The sequence below is a fragment of the Homo sapiens genome, chromosome 8, assembly GCF_000001405.40.
Source record: "Homo sapiens chromosome 8, GRCh38.p14 Primary Assembly".
NCBI lineage: Eukaryota > Metazoa > Chordata > Mammalia > Primates > Hominidae > Homo > Homo sapiens.
In genome coordinates this window covers 131,217,589-131,230,254 of record NC_000008.11, presented here as the reverse complement: position 1 = coordinate 131,230,254, position 12,666 = coordinate 131,217,589, and the positions used below count along the sequence as shown (strand labels likewise).

Genomic DNA, 12,666 nt, shown 5'->3' with positions numbered 1-12,666 from the left:
AAAAAATCTATCCCCTTTGACTTCAGCTACATGTCAGGAAACATTTTCATCTCCCTTCTCCTGGTTTCTCCCATGACTGTTTGTTCTAATTTGGATTCATTTCTAATCACACCTCTGGAACCCATTTACATGGTGCAATAGAGCACAGAAAAAAGTAAACCCACTTATCAAGCCTTTGTTTCAGGCACTTTTACCCCATTGTTTTACTTAATCCTCCTACCAGAGAGGGAAGCATCATAGTCTTCATAGTCCCCATTATGCTGATGAGGAAGTTGAAGCTCAGTGCATTTATGTGACTTACCCATAGCGACACAGGCAGCAAATGGCTGAGCCAATATTCTAATTAATAAGTGTTTGATTCTAGAGCCTGCAGAACAGGGGTCAGTGCTCGTTCCTGACTTTCCCTCTACCCAGTTGCCTTCAGTAATAAGAATCCACTAAACATTGAAATGGACTACTAAACATTCATGAAGTGCCTAAAATTTTACAAAATATTTTAGAGTTTGTAGCTACTTTCATCATTATTATTATTATTATTATTATTATTATTATTATTATTATTACTATTTAGATCTTCACAATCTTCCTGCAATTGGTTTGGTATATAGGTTACAATTTCAGGAAGCAAAACTTCCTGACTCTGTAACTCACCAAATGTGAGGCTCAGGCACATTTCAGCATCCCTTTGAACCGTGATTTTCCTGTCTATAAAATGGGGAGGCATTGCTTGCATCAACATAATAGAGTTGTTGGCAGAATTAAATGAGATAATCGATGCCAAATATATCTGATGTTGCTTGGAACATGGCACATGCCTCGAGGGTGTCAGAGTTGTTATTAATGCTGCTGAGTCTTATTTAGTGGAGGAAATGAAGACTCAAGGCTAAGAGATCTGTGAATGGAGAGAAAATAAAGCTTCATCTTCGGTGACTTCTCCGTCATCTCCAGTGGCTTCACAGAGCTGTTACTAGCAAAGTTGTGACAAAGAAAGGTCTTTTCCCTGCTTGTCCACTGTTCAGCTTGCCTCACCTCAACTTTATGGGCCAAGTTATTTCCATAAACTGGCTGGGAATTCCATTGCCTGGCTTATCGATCTTGCAAAACACAGAAAGGATAAGAAATAAAATTAGATAAAATAAGATAGTCCAGGTTTGAAAAATGCTAGCAGTGTTTTTAGCCATAAATTACTCTTACTAAGGTGGAAAGCAGTAAAACTTGTTAGCTATCTGGTGGAGTCAGACAAAGAGGAGTTTGAATTTCAGCTCTGCCAGTTATAGTCTTTGTGATTTGGAACAAACTATTTAAATTCTCCAATGATTAGCTTATTTATCTAGAATATGAGGATAATAATTATATTTACTTCATTTAATGTTTGCAATAATTAAATGTGAGAACCTAGGCAAGTGCTGCTGAAGTAGGAAAAAGATATAACAAGGTTGGCAATTCTTATTCTTGTTTTAATGATTTATGCAAAGTGCTTAGCTCAGTACATATCCTGACACTCAATACAAGGTATCAGCGGTGATTTTTTTGTACAAAATGAAGGGATACAAAAATACAGTCAGAAATAATAAATTCTAGTATTCAATAGTACCATAAAAATTATAGTTAAGAATAATTTATTGTGTATTTCAAAATAACTAAAACAGAGAATCATAATGTTCCGAGCACAAAACAAAGATAAATGTTTGAGGTGATGGATATCCCAGTTACCTTGATTTGATCAATACAGATTGTATACATGTATCAAAACATCACACAGGCCGGGAGCGGGGGCTCACGCCTGTAATCCCTGCACTTTGGGGGGCCGAGGCGGGTGGATCACAAGGTCAGAAGATCGAGACCATCCTGGCTAACACGGTGAAACCCCGTCTCTACTTAAAAATACAAAAAAATTAGCCGGCGTGTTGGCGGGTGCCTGTAGTCCCAGCTACTCAGGAGGCTGAGGCAGGAGAATGGTGTGACCCAGGAGGCGGAGCTTGCAGTGAGCCAAGATTGCGCCACTGCACTCCAGCCTGGGTGACAGAGCAAGACTCTGTCTCAGAAAAAAAAAAAAAAAAATCGCACATACCCCCAAAATACATACAACTTTGATATATCAATTTAAAAATAAATTTAAAAAGTGAGTAAACTTTCTTACAAGATTTCAAAAAAGTTCTCGACCTTGAGAGGGAGAGAAAATGTGATTTTAAAAAATGGCTAGTTGACAGCTTTTGGAAAGCTTGTGTTCAATAAATACATACACAGTTAGGCATTTGTGTATGTGTATGTGTGCGTGTGTGTTTGTATGTTTACAGTCATGTGTTACATAACGTTTCAGTCAATAATGAACGATATATACAATGGTGCTTCCATAAGATTATAATACTGTATTTTTACTATGCCTTTTCTGTGTTTAGATATGTTTGGATACACAAATACTATTGTGTTACAATTGCCTACAGTATTCAGTACAGTAACATGCTGTACAGGTTTGTAGCCTAGGAGCAACAGGCTATCCCATATACCTAGGTGTAGAGTCAGCTATATCACCTAGATTTGTGTAAGTACACTCTATGATATTTGCACAATGATGAAATTGCCTCCCAACACATTCCTTAGATTGTATCCCCGTGATTAAGCAATGAATGACATATATATATATATATTCCCAATAATTCTGCAAGGTATTCTGTGAATGAAAAGTTGAATTGCAATGTAATAGTCTCTTGAAGAATACTTAGAATTGATATTGGCCACATAATGTAACTAATGAATGCAAATGACAAATAATCTGAGCTCAATTGTAACCCCAGAAAAATGTGAATGTAGCTCAGAAATGAGAGAGAATTGTAGCATGTGTGTGTGTGTGGTAAAGAGAAGTTCAAGATAGGCTTCTTTGAAGAGATTACCCTGGAGCTGGATTTTAATTAATATGTAAGATATGTATCTTACATATTTATGTGTGCGTGTGTGTGTGTGTGTCAATGTGAAGTATAAGGGGATTCCTGGAATAAGGGATGCAATGAGCAAAGAAATATGGGAGAATAAGAATGGGGAGAAAAAGGAGAAGGAGATGCATGGTACAGTGGGGCAAAAGTGCATGTGTATGTGTTTATGTTTACATTTGCATGTATTTATGTATGTATATGTGTGTAGATATGGGTGTATACATATGTGTGGGTGCATGCACCTCTCTGTGCATATTGGGGAAAACAAAGTTGGAAAGGGAAACTAGGGCCTGAATGTGAGGGACTATTTATGCCTGATATGTTTTGGCTCTGTGTCCACACCCAAATCGCACCTTGAATTGTAGTAATCCCCACATGTCGTGGGAGGGACCCAGTGGGAGGTAATTGAATCATGCGGGCAGGGTTTTCTCATGCTGATAGTGAATAAATCTCACGAGATCTGATGGTTTTATAAAGAGGAGTCCCCTGCACATGCCCTCTTGCCTGCTTACATGTAAAACGTGGCTTGTCTCCTCCTTGCCTTCTGCCATAATGGTGAGGCCTCCCCAGCCATGTGGAACTGTGAGTCAATTAATCTTCCTTCCTTTATAAATTACTCAGTTTTGGGTATGTCTTTATTAGCAGCATGAGAACAGACTAATACAATGCCTGATAGTTTTTATAATTTATTTATAGACTGTAGGAGTTAACATTTTTAAAGATGGAGTTGACAAGATAAGAGCTAGAGCTTTTGGACTATAAATCTGGGAGCTGAATAAAGGATGATTTGAATAAGGAAAGGATTAGACAAGATGCTAATTAAATGACATTTAGTTTAAAATACATAAAATATGAATGCTTTAAATCATAAAACTATAGTCAGTAGCAAGAGCTATTTGCCAGGTATTTGGGGCATCCATTCCTTTAAACAGAGTCTCAGAACTTTCATAAGTCAAATGGAAGAAATTAGAAACATACAGATTTTATTCTAAAAAAAACCTGATATTTTAGAAATGAAGTAAAAATTCCTTTGAGAAGTTACTTCTAAAGTATTAATGCATTCCAATTATTTGCTGAGATGTTGAAATGCAGATTAGGAGTGGGGTGATCTTTCTCCTTCTGGCAAAAGCTTTAGCTTCTGAAAAACATTGTTGAAATCAAGTTTCACTTCTTTATTGAAAATTCATTGAATCTAGAAAATGTATCAAAATGGAAATCAACTTTTTAATGGAACTGTTAATTGACATTTAGATGGATTGTCTGAGGATTATATGAGGTAACTGGAGTAAAACAATTTCCATATATGCAATAAGCACCAGATAATTATTAACTGCTATTGTGTTGTTATTATTGCCTTTAATCCGGTACTCGATTCTAAATATGTGGCCTGTCCGCGGTTTCTTCTCTCTAAATCTGCGGTTGTGGAGATTGGTGTATAGATATTTCCTTTTGATGGGAAAAGTTGCTCCCCATGTGAGATCCTTCAATTGTTCAATGAAAGGCTACTTCCTGCGTCCCAAAATCAAACATCTTACAGCTTATTAGGGGTATTACTATTGAAACATGTCGTACTCTTTCTCTTGGGTTACAGCTTCACACAATATATTCTCATTTAATCATCCCGACATTATTTTTACAATACCTAAAAATGTTAACACTTAGGAACATTATATATTTTTCTGTTAATATTACTGCTACATAGGGAAAATACCAGAATCCAAATCGAGTTTTCTCTCTCTTTTTAAGTTTGGAGGTACAAGTGCAGGTTTGTTACACAGGTAAACCTGTGTCATGGGGGTTTGTTGTACATATTATTTTGTCACCCAGGTATTAAGCCTAGGACACATTAGTTATTTTTCCTGATCCTCTCCTTCCTCCCAGCCTCCACCCTCTTACAAGCCCTAGTGTGTGTTGTTCCCCTCTATGTGTTCATGTGTTCTCATAATTTAGCTCCCAGTTATAAGTGAGAACATGTGGTATTTGGTTTTCTGTTCCCACATTAGTTTGCTGAGGATAATGGCCTCCAGCTCCATCCATGTACCTGCAAAGGACATGATCTCATTCTTTTTATGGCTGCATAGTATTCCATGGTGTATATGTACCACATTTTATTTATCTAGTCTGCCATTGATAGTCATTTAGGTTGATTCCATGTCTTTGCTATCGTGAACATATGCATGCAAGTGATTTTATAACAGAATGATTTGTATCCCAGTAATGGGATTGCTAGGTCAAATGGTATTTCTGTCTTTAGGTCTTTGAAGAATTGCCACACTGTTTTCCACAATGGCTGAACTAGTTTACATTCCCACCATCAGTGTATAAATGTTGCTTTTTCTCCACAACCTCATAAGCATCTGTTATTTTTGACTTTTTAATAATCCATTTCAAGTTCAGTGCTTTTTGCATTCTTTAGGACAGCTCAGTAAACTTTTTTTTTTTTTTTGAGACGGAGTCTCGCTCTGTCGCCCAGGCCGGACTGCGGACTGCAGTGGCGCAATCTCGGCTCACTGCAAGCTCCGCTTCCCGGGTTCACGCCATTCTCCTGCCTCAGCCTCCCGAGTAGCTGGGACTACAGGCGCCCGCCACCGCGCCCGGCTAATTTTTTGTATTTTTAGTAGAGACGGGGTTTCACCTTGTTAGCCAGGATGGTCTCGATCTCCTGACCTCATGATCCACCCGCCTCGGCCTCCCAAAGTGCTGGGATTACAGGTGTGAGCCACCGCGCCCGACCAACTTTTTAACATTTTGAATGAATGTAGTGCTTACTCTATATCTATTGCCCAATACTTATCAGAGGACTTCATATAAAGCCAACACTGTGCTGGAAGCAGTTCGGGAGTTTTACAAATCAGTTGTTACAAACAATTAGCTTGGAATTAGGCATGGTGGGAGTATTTTCACCCCACAGAAATTGATAAACGCTACAAATCTACCTCTCCAAGGTAAAATAAAAGCGCTGATTATTAAATATTTACCCAAAAAGCACTGGAAGTCACTCAATAATTCAGTGGTGAATGAATATTATGTCTTCTAACCAATTATCTTCCTTTGAACATATCATCCAATTTTAAAACTAAAATTATCAGTTTTCAATTATGGAAAATTCCACAGAACTGATGGAGTCTAAGTCATATTATTTTTAGAATAAATGGAAACTATCAGTTTATGTTAATGGTGAAAAATAAAGTCTATCCATTTAATTAATGTTAAAATTATAAATTTTTAAATAGCAATACTTTGAAGATTGTGATAGAATTCTTATGCCTTTTTGCTTATTTTTTGAAGAAAATTAGTACTGTAAACTTACTCAGATGTGAGTAATGGTTCCCTTATCATAAAAATCACTGTAATATTTTCCTGCTGGAAGTTTTGGAGAGCTCAGTTTACCTCCTGGGAGCCACTGCCCTCAGCATGTGCCCAAAGAACGTGGAGGCATTCTACTGATACAACTATTTCAAATGGTATTGTCAACTAGTAAAGGGATCATTTATGCAGCATTTGGGCCTGGGAAGAAGATAGTTCACCTTTAGTTTGGAAGAAAATTGTATAGAAAGCTTTTGATACTCTGTCTAAAATAATCTGAGTGCTTTTTTATACTATTGGAGGGTCTCTGTTGTTTCATTTACCATAAAGGTTGCAGCAGGCATTTCTTAGGCTGAAAGAATGAGAAAGGAAGGCAATTAGCATTTATTAAGCTTCTGATATTAGGCAGATACTTTACATATATTAGTTACTTAATCCTTACTATAGCCCTGTGAAGTATTATCATCATTTTATATGTGGATAACTAAAGCTCAGAAGAGTTAAGCAACTCATGTAAAGTTATGCAATTAGTAAGTGTAAAAAGGAGCAAAGAAACGTGAGGGAATAGGAATGGGGAGTACATGGAGAATGTGTTAGTACTATGGTGGGGCAAAAATGCATATATGTGTGTTTGTTTATATATATACATGTTATTAAAATGTGTGTGTGCATGTGTGTGTAAAACCCTGGTACTCAACATTAGGTTTGTTTGATTCCTAAAATATTAAAAGAATATATCAGGCACATATAGGCACCTGCATGTTGCATTTTGTTTAAACCTTACAGCAATCTTTGTTGCAGAGACAAGGTCACTGAGGTTTAGGGAGGTTATGTAATGTCTGAGTAAATGTATGAGCCATAAGAATATAGTCAAATTACACCATCATTTAGCAGCATTTATTTGTGATTTAATTGGGCTACAGTGTTAGAGTAGATGGGTGGTTGGTAAGTTCTATTCAGAGCCAGGAGAGATGATGTCTTTGTCTATTGTGCATGCACATAAGAATGGTGTCAGCATGGCTCACGCCTGTAATTCCAGCACTTTGGGAGGCCGAGGCGGGTGGATCACAAGATCAGGAGATTGAGGCCATCCTGGCTAACACGGTGAAACCCCGTCTCTACTGAAAATACAAAAAAAATTAGCCGGGCGCGGTGGCGGGTGCCTGTGGTCCCAGCTACTCTGGAGGCTGAGGCAGGAGAATGGCGTGAACCCGGGAGGTGGAGCTTGCAGTGAGCTGAGATCGCGCCACTGCACTCAAGCCTGGGTGAGACAGCGAGACTCCGTCTTAAAAAAAATAAAAATAAAAAAATGGTGTCAGCCAGCCTGAAACCCCATGAAAATACATTGGTGACAGTGGAAGCCTGAACCTAAACCTCAAGGTTTCTTCACAGAGAGAAGAACAGGACATGGAGACAACTGGTGGCTTGTCGTCAGCTTTCTTTACTGGTTGCATAACCTTTGCTCATGGAAAGGGGGGAGAAAAGACAGGCTTCTGGGCAGCCTGGTTCTGGAAACTAAGGAATAGGAGAGAGCTGCATTATTGCAACTAGGCATCCCTATATAAGAGGACAATATCCTGGCACGTTAATAGCTATCCCTGGGTAAAGAGGGAAGGACAAGGGGTAGAGAAAGGAGAATTTAAAAAGTAAAAGAAAACGGAGGAAAGGGAGAGAAAGACATTTATTGAATCACTCCATCCCAGACACTATTTATAAGTTAATTAATTTGATATTCATGGGAGATCCATAATGTAGACATATTAAACTGAATATTAATTTTTATTTACATGCAAGATACTCAGGTACAAAGTGGTTAATTAGCTTGATCACAGAGCTACCAAGTAACGGGTTTGGGTCCAAATACAAAGCACTATAACTCCAAGTAAAAAGAGTTATTATTTATGAACAGTCTCAACCTGAGAGACACAGGGTATTTAACTGACATTTAAGAATCATGACAATATTGCAAAGCAGGGATTGAAATCCTTCTTTTATGACTAAAAAATCTGAGATGAGAGGACATACCAGTCTTTTTCAAAGTCATGTTTACAAATTATGGTCTCAGGATTTGAAAACTGGTATTCCTGACTACAAAGCTTATGAGCTTTTTTTCTTACTTTATTCTCACTATTGCAGGAAATCTATTTCCACAAGCATACTCTCCTTTAAGACCATAGCTCTCCTTCCTGAAATTGCAAGTACTGCTAGCAACTTAGAGCTCTTAAAGTCAATGTCTCAGCCATGTGTGTGACCTCAAAGCATTTTTGTTATTAATGATGTCATGATTTTCTCCACAGCAACACTCCCTTATGTTCCAGATTTCATGAGTGAAAAACATTAAAGCCACATGGAAGGAAGTTGGTGGCATATAAAAACAGAAAAAAATTCTTTTTCCAAAGCACAATTTTGAAAAGACTGGCATTTTGGAAATACTGAGAAATTAAGAATTATAAAGCCTAACACACTCAGGGTACTAGAAAGGGACACGGAGACTTATTATGGCTGTATCACATTTATACAGTGGGAGGTAAGGGACAGGGAGTAAGATCTGTTCTCCATGGTATTTACTATCAATGACACTTTACAAACTTCTGCACTTGACAAGCTTAATTATAAAGATAACAACACTCTTAGATGACGTACATACCAAGCCCTAGACAAGCATTTTACATACCTCACCTGAATTAATCCTTATAATAACCTTAGTAGAAAACTATACTTATTGAGGTTAGCTTCTTCCTCCCAAAGCTAACAAGTGGCTGGACTCAAATTTGAACTTGACCCTGCCTGACACCAAAGTTCTGCATTCAAAATAAGCACATTTCATTGGACCATTTATCTAAGGGTTGCCCACATATATTTGTTTTCTATAGTTCTCTGATCTACTGGTTTAGCTATTAAAAGCATAATCAGTCTATTCCTGAGTAAGGTGAGGAAAGGGCTATGAAAACGCAAAGGGCACGTTAAAAATAACTACATTAAGCAAATCACTTCCCTTCACTGGACCTGAACTGTACAGTAGGGAGATTTTAAAAGAGAACTGCAAAGATCTTCTTCAAGGAAATGTGTTTGAGAGGCACCTGGGTGATGGAAAGTGGGTACCAGTTTCAAGTCACTGTTGCACGAGCTCTATCTCAGCTCTGACACTTGCTAGCTCTGTGACTCTGGGCAAAAGATTGCATCTGTCTGCACCTTCATTTCCTCAACTTTAAAATAGGAATAAAAACACCAACCTGTGAGTTAACATAGACTTAATGGGATAAAATGTGCTGGAAATATCCCACACAATTTCTGGAAAACATGATCAACACATTTTGTTTTCTTGCATTTCCCTCTTAACAAGAACCTTGTGAGAGGTTCTTGAAAGAATGAAGAAGGGAGAAGATCAATTCTTCAGATGAATTATATGATGCAGATCATTGACACATGAAAATATAACATCTGCTTCTCACTGTTTTTGTTTCTGTTTTCTCTAATAAGCAGAATGAAAGTGAATAAATCTTGGAATGAGAAAGTAACATTAGTTAGGAAAAATCAAAACCCAAGGAAGATTACGAGGAAAAATTTTATCTTATTCCTTCCTTTGGCACTCAGCTGAGCCTCTATTCTTAAGTCTAACTATTCATTAAAGAAATATTAACTTGGAAAGTGCCAGGTCCTATGTTTGGCTCCAAGAGTAAATGGGAACCTAGATAAAGTCCCTGTCCTCAAGGTACTAAAGGTAAGACCTTAGGGATACAAGCAAATAATTTTTTATTTTAATGCAGTGCAAAAAAAAAAAAAGTGCTCTGATAGGGACAGGACAACTTGCACACAACCTGTATCTGAGAGGCCAGCAGGGGCAATGACATATAAAACTAGAGAAGAAGGCACATTTTAATTGAAGAAAAATGGAAGGACCATGAAGCACTGATGCTTTGGCTTGAGAACGGATGGATAGGAGAGCCTTAGATGCCTAGGCAGAGATCTAGGTCTTTATTTCAAGGATATGGAGCATTCAAGAAGTAATGTGACATGGCCAGAAGCAATGACTACAGCACCACATGCAAACAGACAATGTGTGTGTGTGTGTGTGTGTGTGTGTGTGTGTGTGCGCGTGCACACATATGAAGATGAGAGAGAGGTCTGGGTCTATATAGCATGTCTGGTAATAATTTTATCTTGGAACAGTGCTGCAGCTCTGGGCTCTCCCTTAACCTGTTCTGGCCATTTGTTTTATCAGATAATCTATTTCCATTCTCTTTTGTGTAGCTACTTTTTGCTCCTTAAGATATTTTTTTTTCCCACTGTCAATTCTCCTAAAAACCCCCTTATTTATCTCTCAGGGGACCAGCTCATTCACTTCAGTACACATTGTCGAGGCCCACGCACTCTCCCCTAGTGCCAGTTTTAGTACAGGTTTATCATCCTTCCTTTGAAAGCCACTTCAGGTGTTTTCTCTTCTTCCCCAAACAGCACAGAGGCTGAAACAGGTGAGGATTCATCGAGAAGAAAGGTCACTGGTTAATAGGCACGGCCGGAAAGTTTCCATCAAACAGGTTCTTTTACATAGTTCATAAAGCCCCAAGCAGCTCTGGGAAATGGAAAATGGCCCAAGGAGAAATGGCTAGGTGTCTCATGCAGAGGCTGCCTCATGTACAAAACACCTCAAATCCATCCTCTTCTTTGCAGGTTAGAAAAAGAACACAGTTTTTAATTATACATACACACACACCATGGGTAGTAGTGAGCAAGAACTCACTGCCCCACACTTTCCACCCCCATCCAGCTCCACATAGTTAAGCACTTTTAATTTCTTGAACTTTCTTTGCATTTTTTCTAATAGTTACTTATTTTTAAATATGCCTATACTATTATTTCATAATTTCTCACTTTGAGACATTTTTGGTTGATTTTAGAACTCCAGAACACTTCCACCCAACCTTCTCTCCATCCTTCATCCACTAGGTGTGACACTCTCTCTGCTTTCCATGGTTCCCTCCCCATTTTTATCTCATAGGCATTCTTCCTAATTAGATGATGGCATGTGTAATTGAATTTTGACATCTCTTTCTTGGAAGGTCTGGATTAAGAGAGTATCTTTCTTAAATTCTGGGACTGCCACAAGATAAAGTCTAGATTCCTCAGCAAAGCACACACAGCCCTTTACAGTTATTACTAGCCAACACCCATTTCAAGCTGTGTCTCATCATACATGAATCCAGACTCCCCAGGGATCACCACCCACTCCTTCCTCTTGTTCTTTGTACATGCCATTCCCTTTCTTATTTCTGGAATTCCTTCTTTTCTCTTGCCTACCTGGGAAACTTCTCATTATTCAGGAATGTGTTCAATCACCCTCTCTCACCCCCAACCTGTAGGTGGGGCACGATGTCCCCTGATGTTCCTGTCACCCTCACAGTACTCTGCTGAGGTCTATTGCAGTTTTGACCACAAAGTGGGATGGCTTTTTTTTATGTGTTTGGCTCCCACCTGGACTAATGATCTTAGAAGGCAAGCTGCATCCCCCATATCGCTTCCTCTTCTGTCAATTGGGAGTAAAGGAATGAGGCTGTTGTGAAGAGAGAGACCTATATTTAAATCCTGGCATTTAATAGGTGAAATCACTTCAAAAAGTGACATTCAATAAGGGACATCATTTATTGGTTGCTTGACTTAGATCATGTGACTTAGTTTTTTGAAGCCAAATGAGGCTTCTCTGGCAAATGAGGACAACAACACTAAGGGTGGCTTTAGACCTGCTACAGAGAATATCATGCTTACTCCTTCATGGAGAGACTCCTGCACAGCCCTAAACTCTGAAGTTTGATTTGATGTGCAACTAAATGGGATTCTGGGGTTGCATCCTTGGAGGGAAGGAAGGGTGAGTATATTTTGTATGCTAGATGGAAAGTGAGCCAAATATTTGGCAATGAAAAGAGGAACTATGTAGCTTATTAATTGTGTCTCCCAAATATTTCTGGGTCCCTCTTTTTCCAGACAGATGGTAGGATTGTACATCCTTGGCTTCTTGGATGTAATTCTGGCCATGTAACTTTCTTTGGTGAATGGAATGTGATCAGGCTATATAGATTCCTTCTGGGCAGAGTGTTAAAGGCTGGCATGCGATCCATCTTCTCACTCTGTGTCCCACTGCTGTGCATCTGGTGATGTTCTAGACAGTGGCTGTTCCATCAGTCTGCTTCTTAGAGGGAGGGCATTGAAGAACAGGGTTAGAGCCAAACCATTATGAACTTTGTTCATAAGCGAAAAATTAGCCTCTATTTCTTCAACCACTGAAATTGCAGGGCTGTTTGTCACACATGGTAGGAAAAATTCAAGGTGGTCTCATTACCTTTTCTCCCTGGTGTTACTCCCAGTCCTTTACACTGCAAAAGGGATTTTGCAGATGTAATTAAGACTATAAATAACTGATAAGGAGATTACCTGG

The 12,666-nt window shown here is 38.6% G+C and overlaps 1 long non-coding RNA gene across 2 annotated transcripts in view, besides 1 other annotated feature; it reads right to left on the bottom strand.

The window, feature by feature from the left end:
• LOC105375760 (uncharacterized) overlaps positions 1-12,666 on the bottom strand; it is a 257,327-nt gene that overhangs the window by 66,594 nt on the left and 178,067 nt on the right. The window lies entirely within an intron of this gene.
• Positions 10,870-12,069: an enhancer, noted in NCBI's record as "P300/CBP strongly-dependent group 1 enhancer chr8:132230433-132231632 (GRCh37/hg19 assembly coordinates)". NCBI's record gives its function as "activates an origin of replication core promoter dependent on BRD2, BRD4, P300/CBP, MED14 and CDK7 cofactors, with strong dependence on P300/CBP, by STARR-seq in HCT116 cells {active_cell/tissue: HCT116}" and the evidence as "EXISTENCE:reporter gene assay evidence [ECO:0000049][PMID:35650434]".